Source organism: Homo sapiens, chromosome 1 (assembly GCF_000001405.40).
Source record: "Homo sapiens chromosome 1, GRCh38.p14 Primary Assembly".
NCBI classification, from domain to species: domain Eukaryota; kingdom Metazoa; phylum Chordata; class Mammalia; order Primates; family Hominidae; genus Homo; species Homo sapiens.
In genome coordinates this window covers 108,443,746-108,459,782 of record NC_000001.11, presented here as the reverse complement: position 1 = coordinate 108,459,782, position 16,037 = coordinate 108,443,746, and the positions used below count along the sequence as shown (strand labels likewise).

The window sequence follows — 16,037 nt, the reverse complement described above, 5'->3', positions numbered from 1 at the left end:
GTTGCCATGGGTAGGTTGCAATACAGAGAGAGGGAAAGAGAGAGATGAGAGAGAGAGAAGCATCAGGTGCTCAGCAAAGTAGCCAGATTATGATTTTCTGAGGAAGGAGACTGAGTCTCTCTGTATGGTAGAGTCGTGACTTACTGAATATCATGTCCTATAACAGTGGTTTCATTCCTTTCTTTTAAATGATGTTAAATTTTATGTGTAGTGGCCAAGTAAACATAGGTTTTGAGGCATAATCGTATCCCCGAAATCGCATGGCATCAAGTCCTCTTTCTCTCAATATTGTGCATGGTATAACAATAATTTTTTCTACCTAATTTCCTTGCCTTGAAATGCTCACCACTGTGCTAATGCAAAACCAGCAGAAAGCAGATATGCATCTCAGGCTGGTTGACACCATAAGAAGAGTATACTTACTTTAAGGAAATCTGTGTGACTGATTAGTTGTTCACAAGGTCAAGTGGTTTGATGTACTGAACTTAAGAAGTTAATAAGAAATGCAAACATTAAAAGTTTCACAATGAAAATGTAAAACATGGTTAAAAAAGATCATTTCCGGTTGGCTGAAGGGATGAATTAGGTATATTCAGGACTTTCTGGTTTTCTGTGGAGATGAGTTTCACAGATATCACCCCTGAATAGACAGCCCCTGATTTTTCTCAATTACCTGGGAGCAACTGTTTCTTGTCCTTTCACCTCTTCAAGATCACTTTGCTTTTCTGTAAATAAATTAAGAGAAGACCAGCCAGGTGAACCTGATCACATTCACACATGCACAACCTTGTGTCCAAATCTACATAGGGGCATAAATACACGCAGTGCGAGAACAGGCTATTGTGAGAGAAACTTTCCAGGAGGTCTCAGGGTGAGCCTTGTGAGAAGTCACTAGGTTTGCTTTCCTGAGTCATGGAGCAAATCTCCCTGATCTGACAGGTCATCATCACAGTCCCTTCTGTCTTGAGTCACAGCAAACTGTTAACCATATCCTGTTTACTAACAGATCCTGGGGATCTACTTTAATGCTTCCTAGCAGGTTACTGCAGTATTCAGCATGTTTCCTTCTGATAAGCTGTTGTCAGTGTTTTTGTAGAATTTGCATTTAGAGGGACAGATTAAATCAAAAGAATCTCTAATGCTACATGGAAACATTGGCCTTTCATATGGCAGGGAGTTCCAGGGCCCGGCCTCCTTTCAGAGAAACATACAAAATTTAATAGTGGTGTTCATGTTCTGGTACTCAGAGACTTCTTAGCTAAGACAAGCCTACTAAAAGGGGAGGGAGTCTAGCCTGAGAGAAGTGAACGAGGGAAATGACAGCTCCAAGAATATCGATAAGGCTGCCAGTGGCCTTGGACAGGCAGAGAAACTCAGGTTGTTTGGGAGGGAAAATTAGATTTCATGTGAGATGACAGATTAAATCTAAATCAGGAGGACTGGTAGATACACCCTGCACCCAGGCTGCAGAGGTGGGTATGAATTTGTCAGGTCAACCTTGGGTACAGTGATCTGCCAATGGGGCAATGATGAAAGACAATGTGTGGTTTTGGACTAGAATGGAGCACAACTCTGACTTATAGGATGCCTTCCTTCAAACTCAATCCTAGAGCCTGGTTCTAACCAGTATATAAGCATAGAGTCTTCCTGAAGGTATGACATCCGTCACTATGGACAAATCTGGGGTACAAACAATAGGGAGCCTACCGAGGAAGCCAAGTGAGGTTTCATCCCATTTGGGATTGGAGTAATCCCTGGCAACATCCTGAGCGGAGCAAACTTTCTGTTCATCCAATGCCAAGAAAGAGACTTCACGATGCCGGTAAGAGTTGGACTTGTCATGGTGTCTAGAATGAGACAAAACACATTTCTCTGGCAAGTCCTGCAGGACTCCCTTCTCTTCAGAATCCTGCAGCTTTCTGATGAGCCAGGTAGGATAGAACGACAGAAGGTTAGACCAAGACAGATTCAACACCATAGTATCTCAGGTGATTTGATAGGACACAAAGGGTGTGGTCACAGAAAGCAAAGGAGGGTCTCCTCCAAGAGAGAAAAATCTATCCTTCTAAATGTGGGGTGGAGTGTGACTGTCCTGGAGACAGAGCAAACATGAGCAGCAGGTGCTCAGTGCACTTGCCACAAACGAGCGGCTGCAGGAGGACCCAGACTCTCCCTGTAAGCTAGCATCAAGCATCATGACTTGCAGCACTGAGAACTAAGCTGGGACTTCACTTCCTTTACACAAATTGCGTTGACATTACATGCAGCATCCAAGTGAACACAGCTCTTGAGGCATTCCCAACGCACAGATCCTGTGTTTTTAAGGTCCCCCTTTTTTTTCAATATTTTGACATAATATGAAATTTTTATTTTTAATTTTCTCGATTGCATTCAAATACTTGCCAACATGCTGTCACAAAACATACAGAAAGCATATATGCATCTCACCCTGGATTAGCCACATGGGAGACCACAGGTGAGATCAGGAAATCCCTGAGGTTGGTCAGTTCACCTGGTTCAAGTGATTGTCGGTTCCTATGCTTGAGAGGGATTAAGAAATTGAAACCTATTCAAGTACCACAATAAAGAAGACAACATTGTTAAAGGGGCAATTTGCACTTGGATGAATGGATGAGACAGTTCTATTCGTCACTTCCTATTTTCCCTTGATCCGTGGTGTCCAGATGTCACTATTGAACTAACAGCCCACAAATCCACAGTTACCTGGGGGGCACTGGCGCTTTCCCCTCCTCCTCCTCATGGTCATTTTGATTTTCTGTAAACAAATTCAGAAGAGCAGGTCACAGTAAGGAAATCACACAAGAGCAAATAAGTGTCCAGTCATAGCACAAGAACATAAATATCCTCAGTGTAAGAATGTGACATTTTGACAGGATCATTCTGACTTATTTTCAGAAGTAGATGTGCCTGCTTTCCAGACCCATAGGACAAAATCTCCCTCATCTGGTAGATCATAATCACCTATCCTCTGACCTAAGTCTGTGCAAACAATTAAACAAAACTTTTTCCCCAAGATTTTCAAAAATTGCCCTAACCACTCTCCAGAAGTGTTGTTGCAATACTGATTTATCTCATCATATATCATGGTCAACGAATGGTTAGAGAAATTTGTATAGGAGACTGAACTGATGGATAAATTCTAACAATCCTTGCATAAAAAAGAGTCTGCGGTGCTACACAGAAACATTGACCGCTCATGGGGTGAAGAACTCAGGGCCCAGCCTCGTTTAGGGAAACTTATAAGCAAGATAAAGGTAGAAGTGTTTATGTCCTGCTTTCAAGGTGACTGCTTAGCTGGGACAAGCTGACCTAAAGGAGACCAAGCCTGGGGCCGAGAACAGTGAATCCAGAGACACATCTCCAATTACATAGGCAAGACTGTCAGTCGCCTGTGACAGGCATAGAAACTCCATGGACATTGTTCAGGGACACAAATCATTATTGCATGTGACAAGAGACATAGGAACCGAGCCAGGAGGCCTGACAGATACCTCCTGTACACAGGTGGCTATGACTTTGTCACACCTGCCTGTGGTCCAGTATGCTAATATTGGGGCCAGGAAGACAAAGTCCATGCCATGGGCCTAGGAGGAGAGGAATGTTCTCTGACCCTCACATAACTGTGTTTAATATTCTATCATAGTTTCTCTCTTTCTTTCTTTCTTTTCTTTTCCTTCTCTCCCTTTCTTTCTTTTTCTTTCTTTCTTTCTTTTTCTTTCTTTCCTCTCTTTCTCTCTCTCTCTCTCCTCTCTCTCTCTCTGTTTCTTTCTTTTTCTTTTTTTGAGACACAGCCTCACTCTGTCACTCAGGCTGGAGTGCAATTGTGGCTCACTGCAGCCTTTACTTCCTGGGCTCAGGTGATTCTCCCGCCTCTGCTGCCTGGGTAGTTGGGATGACAGGCACGCACCACCATGCCTGGCTAGTTTTTCATGTTTTTTGTAAAGACGGGTTTCATCACATTTCCCAAGCTGGTCTTGAACTCCTGAACTCAAGTGATTCACCCGCCTGGGCCTCCCAAAGTGCTGGGATTATAGGTGGGAGCCACCGCCCCCGGCTCCACTATACTTTGTGATTCAAACCAATATGTATGTATACAGTCTGTCCTCAGAATTGATCTTCCTCAGCCTAGACAGAGCTAGGAGGGACAAAGAATAGAGAGGCTACCTGGGGGAATGTTTAGAGCTTCCTCCTCTTCATCATGAGGGTGTTCACTCTCTACAACCAGAGCAGAGTCGACTTCGTGTTCCTTAAATGTGATTTTGGTGCTCCTGTGAGGCTGGTTGGAGTTAGAAGGGTTGTGACTATTTGAACAAGTGACAGCACATTCCTCCAGTGAGTCCTGAGGGACTTCCTTTTCTTCAGTCTTCTGCACCTCTCTGATGAGCCCAGTGGGATAGAGATGACAGAAGATTAATCCAAAAGGCATTGCACCCCAAGAAGTCCTAGGTGGTTTTGAAAGGAGGCTTAAGAGAGTGGTCCCAGAATGCAAAGGAGAGGTTCCTTTTAAGAGGGAACAGGCAATCCTTTTCTGTCTGCAACAGAGCGTGGCTGCCATGGGAACCAGAGAGGAAGACAGCAGCTAGTGATCATTGCACTGGGCAGATAGGAGCTGAGGAGGAGGAAGACTCAGCTGTCCCTGTATGGTACAGTCTTGACAGCACACACAGAGAACCAAAAACAGCTGCCACATGGTGTGTCTAAGCTGGGTTGTAGTTAACATACTGTGGCCATGGCTATACAGGCATTTGAGCCATTGTAGACTTCAGAGATGGTGTGCCTTCTAGTTTTTTTAAAATTTTAATATTGTGACATGAAATGTAAATTTTTTTGTCTAGGTACTGTACTTTGTGTTCAACTTTGCTAGGTGCTTCCTATTTCCTCTGCTTGTTGCCTCTCTGCTATTTATCTTTCCTAAAAAGAACCTAAAGACAACAGTGTAGAAAGCAGCTTTACATCTCATCCTGGCTTTCACTACAGGGGAGAACAGGTCTCCTCTGTGTGTGCAGGAAGTCCCTAGGGATGGTGAGTTCATCTAGGGTCATGCTTACAGGCACCAGGAAGACAATGGACAAGCACGTTAATGGGGCTATTTCCTTGTTGGGTGAGCACATGAAATCAGTGCACTCTGCAGCTTTCTTTATCCTGCCTCTGGAATCTGTGACTACCTTCACCTCCCTTTTATTCTTTCTGAGACCTTTTTCATATTTTACCACCCATTACCCGCTCCTGATTATTCAATGTTACCTGGGGGCAGGTGATTCCTGTACTTTCTCAACCTCCTCGTCTTTGTCGTCTTCATCCTCATCTTCATCTTCATCATTTTCTGCAAATACAGATGTGTCCATTGAAATATTTCCCATTTCACCCACTGCAAGCACAGTGAGCCCTATGTGCACAGGGACATAAACATCTACATGTATAAGTCCACACTGTGCTGAAAGCTCTCATGTTTTATCTCTAAAAAAATGCCCTGGCATGTTTTCCTGATCCATGAGGCAATGTGTTTCTGATCTGGAGGGTCACCATCAAGATGTGGCCAAATATTGAAAAGACCTTTTCCTCTTCATATCACTGGAGGCTTGCCCAGCCTCTCTCTGAACTTCAGCAGCTGTCTCCCCAATCCTGCCACAGATCTGATTCCCACGCACAGGCTCTGTATCCTGTCACAGTTCGCATTTAGAACCTATATCTTTCTCTTCGAACAGGACAAACAACCTTGTCCCACAGTATTCCATACATTAGGGACTTCATGGGCCCTCCAAGTGGCTTCCACTGTGTTAACCGGGGACAATCTCTCCATGGGGAGTGCTCCAGTCTAAACCACTTCCTACCACCAAATGCCACCACATCAAGTGCCTTCTCCAACACCACACAGCAAGGGGCTTTATCTCATTGTGAAATATAGTCATAAGTGTTCCCACATTTGAATGCAAGAGACAATTTGTTTGCTTTTACAGATTTAGAGACAGAAACCCAGGAAGGATAAATTAATCAGTTGCCCACAGTTGCTAAAGACATTGCTGAAGATAGATCCTGGGAACATTCATTCTTAGTCCAGGGCTCCTTTCACTCTAAAAGCTGCTTCCTGTCACAGCCTCCTTCCTGTTCTTTAAAACTGGACGGATGTTGCCTCTTGCTCTAAAGACCACATTCCATCAAGAAAGGAGGATACATTTGCCATTCTGTAACCTCCACCCCATGGGTTTCCCATCTCTGCTCCCACCCAAGAAATTCTGATCATGTCGTGGCCACAAAAGTTTACTGGAAAGAAACACTACCCATACAATTGTCATTGTGGAGGTGTGGAGGTCTGGGGACTTTCATAAGCCTGAAGCTGTGTGTCATCAGGGCCCATGGCCACCTTACCTGGGCTCAGCTTGTGAACAAGGTGCTCTGCCAGCCTGTGCCCCTCAGCCAGCTGCTCTCGGAGGTCCTGACCCTGGGACTTGTCAGGGTCATCAGGAGTGAGGAGGGTTTTCAGATGCTTGTTCAGCCAGCGGGAGGCATCTCTCCCTTCCCGTAACTTCTCCCGTAACTGGGTCAGCTCTTTTGCCTGAGAGTGAACCAGGGCTTTATACTGCCTAAGGTGAGATAGTAGAGAACATTTAATAATGGAAAGGGATGAGTGATCAGTTCTAATACCGCAACAGAGGTTTCTGTGAGAATGTCCTCAAGGAGACCTCCAAGCAGAAGGTCAGAACATGTTTGGGGAAATGTCTGTGGCCAAGAGAAAGAAGAATATATATATATATACACACACACACACACACACACACACACAAACAAACATACACACACACACACACACACACAGCCTTCTGATATATGAGAGAGTGCTTCTGTAAGATCCTCACAGATGTTCCACTCATCTTTTTCTTCTGTAAACAAAAGTTAGCGTCTTCCTAAATCAGTTCCACAAGGATGTCCTTTCAGTTCCTCACTTTGGCCATGGGCATCTCTATGTGAAAATTCACATAGCGCATCTTGCAGTGACTAGATACAAAGCCATGCACAGAAATGTGGCCAGGTGCAGATGGGGTGAATTGGAAAGATGAAAGAAGAAAAGAATGACAGTGTTAAGAAGGCAATATTGATTGAACAAATGAAACGCCACAGTCAGTCAAGAGGTGATTCTGACGAAGAGTAAAGGTGGTGGTGATCGCACACCATTCTGAGTATCCTAAATGCTTCTGAGTGGTTCACTTTTTTTGGTTTATTTTGTGTTATGCAAATTTTACCTCAACAATCAGTGGTTTTAAGAAGAGAAAACAAGGCTTAAGAAACAACTACAACCCATAACTTACTAAGATGACTGTTCTCTGTTTTATAAATATTTGTGTGACACGTGCCTGCCATGTAAATGCCTGCCGTTGTCCTGGCCCAGCTCAGCTCTTAGTTCTCCCAGCTGAGTTGCTGCACTTCAGAGATTCACACCCCTGCCCATCTGCCTGCCCCCAATGGGGCCCGCTCACCTGAGCTCCTCAGCTTGCCTGAGCTTCTCTGCCAGCTTCTCCATGGACTGCAGTTCATCCCTCAGCACAGAGTCTATGATGTCTTTGTACTCTTCACACTCTGAGAAAAGACAGACACGCCTGCCTCAGTGGAAGGTGGGACATGCTGCTGGGGTCAGTGTCTATAGGGCAGGCGGCAGCATCCATCCCAAGGACGAAAGCAGCTCCAGTACCAGGCTCCAGGCAGGCATTTCCACATCTTTATTTATCAACCTCCCAACTTTCTGGCATCTGATACTCCCCAGCTCAGGGATGGGGAGAAAGAAACACAAGGGCACATCAAGTAACTTGACAAGATGATTCACCTGGAAGAAGGCGGAGTCAGAATTCACAGCCCCTGAGGTCTGACTCTGAATCCTGGGCCACTTTCCCAAGCCTTGCGGCCTCTCCTGTAAAACACTGCACTGGTGCATGAAGTAGTGATTTTCTATACAGTCAGGAAGGCCCTAGGACTATGGGACCCAAAGTTTCCCTTGTACTGGGAATTTCAAGTGCGAATATGTCAAACATTTAAAAAATCATATCTGGATATAATTGCATAAAATATGAGGCACAAGACCGTGAGGCTATAGTAGAAATATGCCCAAATACTACTAAAGTTTGAATTAAGTTAGAAATAGTAGAATGAAGAACTAATAGATAGTGTTTACTCTGTTCCAAGAACTGTTCTAGGAAATTTACAAGAAATAGGTCATGTAATTCATTGCAGTAATTTACAGAGGTAGGTATTATTATAGTCCTCAATGAGCAGATGAGGAAACTGAGGCACAGAGAAGATAGGCAACTTGGATGGAGCCCAGGAGACTGGCCCAGGGTCCCTGCTCTGCACACTACACTGCTACCTCTACAATGTCTCATGTGCCATCTTTCTTCCTCTTCAGGAATAAGAGCCTGTGCCCCAGGAAGCAGCACTTCCCTTTCACTGGGACACTCTGTGCTTTGAAGGGTGTCACAGATATCACAGTTTCTGTTAGGGGCAGTCTCCTCTTTAAGCTCCTTAGAGTGGGTACTCTGTACAGTTGCCATGTTTCCCCCAGGGTCCTCTGGATGGAGCTTTGCCTATTGGGCCTCAAAGAAGCTTGAACTGAATGGAAGTTCATTAGTCCCAGACATTTAGACCAACAGACTAGATGTTACTTGTCTGTAGAATCTTATATGGTACAGAGAGGATTCTCATAAACATGATTTAGCCTCTTACTGAGGAAAACAGGTGGTTCTGTGCCTGTGTCAGAAGACAATAAGTAGGATTTTAAGTCTAGTCCCACCTCACACCAGACTGCCAATGTGGAAAAGTTGCTAAATACTTTGTGCCTCTGTTTTCCATGTTTAACAAAATGAGGTTAAAACATCCACTTCTATTTTCCTAGAAGTATGGGAAGGATGAAATTAATTTCGATGAAAAGACCGTTCAGTTTCTCAGAACACAGGTGATCATTCATCACGTTCATCATTGTGAATCTATAGAACTTACTGTATTTCTTCAGCTGGTTGGCCAGGGAGTAGGCAGTAGCTTGAGTTATAAGGAATTTCTCTTTGAGGTCTCGGAACTGCTGATTGCTCTCTGCCAGCTGCGAGCGCAATTCCTGGTTGATTTCTAGGATGTTCATCTCTGCCCTCTCGCTGGACAAAGGGTCGGCAGATACCACCATGCTGACGTTTGTGGCAGAAGAGGTAGAGCCAGGGACTGGGGAGAAGAAACCCAGACACATGATGGGTCAAAAACTAGTGAAATCAATTAGGTTTAATCAGGACTGAGAGATGACAATTACTGGAATTGTTAACTTACGGTTGAGAAAAAGTTGATGAACACGACACAACACTTTAGAGTCCTTAACCGCAAAAACAGGGACCGGGATGCCTGAGCTCAGAGCTGAAGGCACTGCCTGTAGCTCCGACTCTGACAAGAGTGAGGGAGGTAGCAGCCAGTGTACCAGGTAACGGTCTGCAGTTGCAATAACAGAATTAGAAGGTGGGGGTGTCATGGAATCTTAGAAACCCTGCATTCCAATTGCCCAGGCTGTGCTGAAACACTAGGCCCCCTGGTCTCACCTGAGGGTCACTGATGGGGACCATTTCTTCAGCAGTCACTCTCAGTATTTGTGCACCCTTGTGACAATGCTATAGGCCCACCTCTTTCTCAATACATATAAGCATATTCCTCATTGTTCATCTCTTGTGTGTATAAAATCATCAAGGTAGGGATAGTTTTCCAGAAGGTTATATTTTCTTAGTGGTAGTCATCAAGTCACCTCACCTTCTTTTTAAGGTAAAATGATCTTAATGCTTTTCCACAAGTGAAAGATAGCAAACTTTTAGTCTGCTATGATATCCCTCTGGGTCTTCTGCAGTTTTTTCTGTATCGACTGAAAATGAAGGAATAATTCACTTTTAAAAAAGATTTTCTACCCTGTCTCAGTATTCTTGCTGCATCCCATTGTTATGTTGATTTCTTTTCTCTTACTGGGGCAGCATCTTGGCTTTTCATTACACTTAAGACCAGTTTCACATCCCTACGTCCAAAGCTCTTCCTCTATGTGTGGGTCGGTTTGCTTTTTTAATGTCACTGAACACTCGTTTCATACTTGTCACTTACGAATATCATTCTCGTCCCAAAATAGCTCTTTTCAAGGTATCAAGTGATCAAAATCATTTGTATATATCCCCTGAAAACATGTGTGACCATCTATCTTGGGAAGTCTTGTAAACCTGATGGTATTTTGTTGTTTTTAGTTTTCCCATATATTGAAAAGAACAGGGCATTGAACGCTTCTCAGGGAATATTGTTGGAGATATATATATATATATATATATATATATATATATATATATATATAGTTGTTCTAACACTGTTGATGTGTGGTTGCATTCCACTAACCGAACCTGGCAAGATCAAGCTCATGGTCACGGGTGGTTGGTGATCCTCAGTGTTCCTGTGCAGTAGAAGGTGAGTTTGAGATGAGAGGGATGAGTAGGGGAGTGTGCTCCCCCAAACCACCTCCTCACTTTCTCAGCTTCCATCTTCAACTAGGTCTTGTGAGGCTAGGACTTGGGAGATTGTCCTGTAGCCCAGGTCTCCTAAGTGTGGCTGCTGGACTTGCCTGAGTTGAGGGTGTGATGAGTGTGACCACGGGCTACGCAGCATTCATGTGGAAGTGAAGGAGGAGGACTGGATCAATCCCAGTGGAAAGCGCACATCTCAGCAGCCCGCACCATCCTCCACCTACACTGTGTAGCGACAGTGCTTTGAGATGTAGCAAAGGCTATAAATTTATCTATTCTCTGGTGTCTCAAAGACCTGACATTCTGTGTCAGAATGAAAATCTGTCTAGTTTCTTCACTTTAAAAATGATAAAACTGCAGGTTCACAAAGTTACTGGTTTACTTGAGGTCACACAGGGATGCATTTTGAGCACTGCCAATAAAAGGAATCACAATAATTATTCAGTAATTATTTATAGAATCCATGTAATTCAATAAATAAAAATAATTATTTATTGACCAATTCATACTAGGCATTTTGTTCAAAACTGTACACATACTTGGATATCATATTTTCATCATAATCCTTAAGGCAATGTTATTATCCATAAGAAACAGGTAAGAAACCTGAAGAAGAGGGATAGCAAATCATGTATTTGGCTATATTTCTATTTTTTGGTTTCTGTGATGCTGGAAGAATGACCAGAATGAGTCATGGGAATAGCATTCATTCCTGTGTCATTTTCCAGGACAGAGGTGTGCCCTCCTTCAGCATTGGGACCGAAATTCAGAAGTGTCTGCAACCTTGCTTTAACAGTGTGGGAAATAACCTCTATTACCTGGAATTTCACTGGAACTTTGGAATATACAAGAGAAATATGAGACTTGGGTCTTCCCCTGGCTGTATTTAATTCACTATTCTATTGAGTACCAATGATTCTCATTAAGACTTTTGCCTTTTTATAACTTTTCTTTCTGACACAGAATGTCAGGTCTCTGAGACACCAGAGAATAGATAAATTTACAGCCTTTGCTACATCTCAAAGCACTGTCATTACACAGTGTAGGTGGAGGATGGTGTGGGCTGCTGAGAGGCATGCTTTCCGCTGGGATTGATCCAGTCCTCTTCCTTCACTTCCACATGAATGCTGGGTAGTCTATGGTCACACTCATCACACGCTGAACTCAGATACAACATATATTTTATGTATAGATACAATATATATTTTATGGAGAAGATTTTACTCTTAGCTCTATTTAAAATGAATAATCTAAGCACTGGTTTAGGTTTTATGCCCTGGACTTGATATTTTTTCTGATTTCTGTTTTGAGATTAAATTCTCATGTAGATAGAAAAATGCTTATTACTTATAAGAGCAAATTAGTTATTGATTTGAGTTTCTGAAGTCGAAGCACAAACTTTTGTTTTTAATCTTTGTCTGACCCCATCAGTGCCACTCATTGTCTCTCAGAATGACCTGGCCGTGATCCTGCACTTACCCTCGTCCTGCTGAACCATTTCCACGCACTGTCCAATTCCATCAGTGATCTGGGCTCTTCCCAAAGCTCCTTGAAATGGGTCCAGGTCTCAGGATGTCAGACACCTTCCAGACACAAAAGTAACCCATACTGTAGAGAGCGCAGCTGGGTTCCCACCTCCCTGAAGTTGGCAGGGATGTCCTAGGGCAGGAAGGAAGGCTTTCCCTTTTTAGCGGGTCTTTTCTTCATGTCTCAGTGCCTCTGATCTAGTGAACACAATTGTCCTGAGCGGGAAAGAACTTGCTAAATTTCTGGTTTCTTGTTAGGTTGCTAGAATAGATTTGTAAGAGTTCCTTGTTTACCCATGTCTGCTGAAGTTTGAATTCTTAGCCGTATGATTTCTTTTCTTGTAAATTGAGCAGCTTGGAGAAAACTGGCCCTGTTGCTATGCAAAAAGATGTAAACTTAATTTCTACTCAAAGCAAGTTTGAATTTGAAACTAGGGCTTCCACTGTTTCAATGTTGGACTGTCACTACCTCAGGCATGTGTCCCAAAGTGCTCCTGTCTCTGCCGTACTCAGGATAAAGTTAAGATGGAGCCCAGCAAGCCAGGTTTCCTTCACTTCTAGGTTCCCTCAACAGTTTTCTCCACTTTAGAGAATGCATTGAATATATTCTTGTTCTGCTTCTGTGTTTGGGCTTTGGAATGATGTGATGCAGCTCAATGGTTCCTACCCCCAAGTTGATCAGAGTAAGAAACATCTGGAAGGTCAGTGCAAATACAAGATCATTGTCCTCCTTGCAGGGATTCTGATTCAGTGCGCTCAGTTGGGGCCTGGAATGTGTTTGTTAACGACTTAGATGTGCAGTCAGACTGGGGACCCTCTGATACCACGGACCTTACAGTTTATGGGATGATTCTGTTTTGCTGATGACAAAACCAAGGCACAGAGAGTCTGTAATTTGCCCAAGTTCCCTTTGCTGTTAGTACTGGAGCCAGATCTCAGAAAGAGTCCCCTCCCCCAATCCCCTTTCCACATTTTCCAATTCAGTTGTTTCGGTGCTTTCCAAGTAGGTGTTTCTCTCCCCTGTACCTCATTTCTGCAAAACAAACAAACAAACACACATTAAAAAACAAAACAAACAAACAAACAAAAAACCTTCTTGAATTCAATTTGTTTCATTTAATACATTTCCTCACAACATGCAGTCAGCATTATGTTCTGGCCACTTACTATGAGTGTGAGATGCTTTTTTTTTTTTTTTTTTTTGAGACAGGTTCTCGTTCTGTCATCTAGGCTGGAGTGCTCACTGCATACCCAAATCCTGGGCACAAGTGATCCTCCTGCCTCAGCTTTCCAAGTAGTTCGAACTCTAGGCACACATCACCATTTCTGGCTATTTTTTTTTTTAAATTTTTTGTAGAGACAAGGTCTTGCTGTGTTGCTCAGGCTGGTCTTAAACTTCTTTCACTCAAGAACTTTTTATTGAAAAGTCTTTCATTTCCCCAATGAGAGGCACTGGCGTGTTTGTTTTTAAAAGCTTTAAATAACTGTATATATGTGAGCATAATGTTTGAGTCTGTATTCTTTTTATCTTGATATACTTCTATATACTTACACTAGTACTATAGTTTTTAAATTATTGTAGCTCTAAATGAGTTTTGAAATCCAGCAGAATAACTCCTACAACTTACTGCTTCTTCAAGACCAACTTGCCTGTTCTAGCTTTTTTGATTTTCAAATACATTTTGAAATTAGCTTTTACATTTCTCTAAAAATTCCTACTGGAAACATTAGTCAGAATTATGTTGATGTAATATCTTAACAAAATTGAATCTTCCAATCCATGAATGTAATATATATTTCTCTATTTAGTCTTCTTTAATTTCTCTCACCAATAGCTTTCAGGGGCTTTGTACCTGCTTCATTATATGTATTCTTAAATATGTAATGATTTTGGATATTAATCTCTATTATGTTTTATTGAATTTCATTTTCTAGCAGCTAATTGCTAGTATGGAGAAATTAAGATGATTAAATAAACTTTATAAAGGTATTTATTAAGTACAATAGACTGCACCACTTTAAACTATGTAATCCAATGCATGTTCACAAATGTATACACTAATGGAACTACTGCCATAATCAAGATATAGGAATTTCCATAAGCCCAAAATTTCTTGTAACCCTTTGCAGTTAATCAGTATTTCAACCCTCAGGTTCAAGGAGCCACTGTCACTTTCTGGCAGTGCCTTTTTCACCATTTTCTATAAATGAAATTATACCTGTGTTCTTTTGCATCTGCCTTCTTTCATGCATCATATTAATTTGAAAATCCATCCATGTGAGCATTTTCGTCAACAGTTAATGCCTTGTAATTGCTGAGTAGTATTCCTTTGTGTGGCTACACCATGTTTGTTTATACATTCACTTGTTATTGGACATTTGTGTCATTCTAGGTTTGGGCTATAATGCATAAAGTATCATGAGCATCCACATACAGATCATTGTGTGGACATAGAGTGTAAATTCCTAGGAGTGCAAGGACTGTCCATTTGATCTGTACATGTTTAGTCTTATAAGAAACTGTTAGCCAGATTTTCAAAGGAGTTGTACCATTTTTCATTTCCACAAGTATAGGACTTCCAAGTACTTTATATCCTCACCAACATGTGGTATTTTCAGTCTTTTTAATTTTAGCCATTCTCATGGACATGTAATGGTATCTCAGCATTGTATTGATTGATCTCCCTGATGACTAAAGAGTTGAGCATCATTTCATTTGCAAATTGACCCTTCATATATCTTCTTTTCTGAAGTATCTATTCAAGTCTTTTGAGAAATTGTTTCATTGTGCTGTTTATCTTATCAGACTGCATTATATATATACCATTAAAAAATCTTTTGTTGGAGATAAATATAATTTCTCCTATATTGTGGCTTCTTTTTATGTTCTCTTAATGTTCCCTGTTTTGGAGATAAAGATAGAAATCATCAAACAGGTGATTATGTATATATACATATAACTATATTCACGTCTAAGAATAATTTATTAGACATATATGTAAGGGTCTATTTCTGAGTTCTCTTTTCTCTTCCATTGATATATGTTCTATTTTTTTCAACAATACACATGGTCTTGATTTCCATAGCTGTATAGTAAATCTGGAAATAGGTAGTGAATTCATTCACCATTGTTCTTTTATAATATTGCTCTCTTATTATTCTTGATCACTGACATTTTCATATAAATCAGCTTGTAAATTTCTACCAAATTGCCTGTTGGAATTTTTTGTTAGAATTGCATTGCATCTGGAGATCAATTTGGGAAGAACTGACTTTTTAACTATAACAGCTCTTCTGATCCGTGACAAGGTTTATCTCCCCACCAATTTAGTTTGTTTATATATATATCTAATTTCTCAAAGCAATGTTTTGTAGTTTTCAGTGTACTGGCCTTACATAAATTTTCTTGAATTTATTTCTAAGCACATCACGTATTTAGATGTTACTTTAAATGAAATTGTATTTTTATTTTATTTTCCAAACACTCATTGCTAATATACAGAAATACAACAGACTATTTATATTGAACTTATATTCTGCAACATTGCCAAACTCGCTTAATAGTTTTGGTATATTTTTGTAGATTTCTGGAATTGTTTACATACATAATCATGATCCGTGAATAAAGACAGCTTCAATTCTAGACAGCTTCAATTCTTTCTTTTCAATCTTTTCAATGTTTCTGTTTATTTATGTTCTTACTTTATTGCATCGGATAACATCTCTAGTTTAATGCTGGATTGAAAGAGTAACAGCAGATATTCTACCTTTTTCGCTATTTAATAGAAAGCATTCAATCTTATTAATGTTACCTGTGGGTTTTTCAAATCTGCCCTTGCAGGGTTGGAAGTGTTGCCTTCTGTTCTTATCAAGTTGAGAGTTTGTTTTTGTTAATGATGAAAAAAGTTTTCAATTTGCCAAACGCTTTTTCTGTGTATGTCAGGGTAATCATATGCTTTTTCTCTTTTGTCCTGATAAT

General features: G+C 41.4%; 1 protein-coding gene across 8 annotated transcripts in view; it reads right to left on the bottom strand.

Moving 5' to 3' along the window:
• NBPF6 (NBPF member 6) overlaps nucleotides 1–16,037 on the bottom strand; it is a 50,430-nt gene that overhangs the window by 12,138 nt on the left and 22,255 nt on the right. For 3 of the 8 annotated variants that reach the window (XM_047428683.1, XM_011542012.3, XM_017002148.2), the window contains 10 exons: nucleotides 13,085–13,091; nucleotides 12,012–12,115; nucleotides 9,004–9,216; nucleotides 7,494–7,593; nucleotides 6,388–6,602; nucleotides 5,266–5,344; nucleotides 4,186–4,397; nucleotides 2,725–2,776; nucleotides 1,708–1,847; nucleotides 674–725 (listed from right to left, as the gene is read on the bottom strand). In XM_047428683.1, the coding sequence (XP_047284639.1) occupies nucleotides 674–725; nucleotides 1,708–1,847; nucleotides 2,725–2,776; nucleotides 4,186–4,397; nucleotides 5,266–5,344; nucleotides 6,388–6,602; nucleotides 7,494–7,593; nucleotides 9,004–9,216; nucleotides 12,012–12,030 (1,082 nt within the window). In that variant the 5' untranslated portion in view covers nucleotides 12,031–12,115; nucleotides 13,085–13,091. Of the gene's footprint in view, nucleotides 1–673; nucleotides 726–1,707; nucleotides 1,848–2,448; nucleotides 2,536–2,724; nucleotides 2,777–4,185; nucleotides 4,398–5,265; nucleotides 5,345–6,387; nucleotides 6,603–7,493; nucleotides 7,594–9,003; nucleotides 9,217–9,318; nucleotides 9,441–12,011; nucleotides 13,092–16,037 lie in introns of those variants that run through there. The other 5 variants (XM_047428685.1, XM_047428686.1, XM_047428684.1 and 2 more) reach the window with 3 other exon arrangements.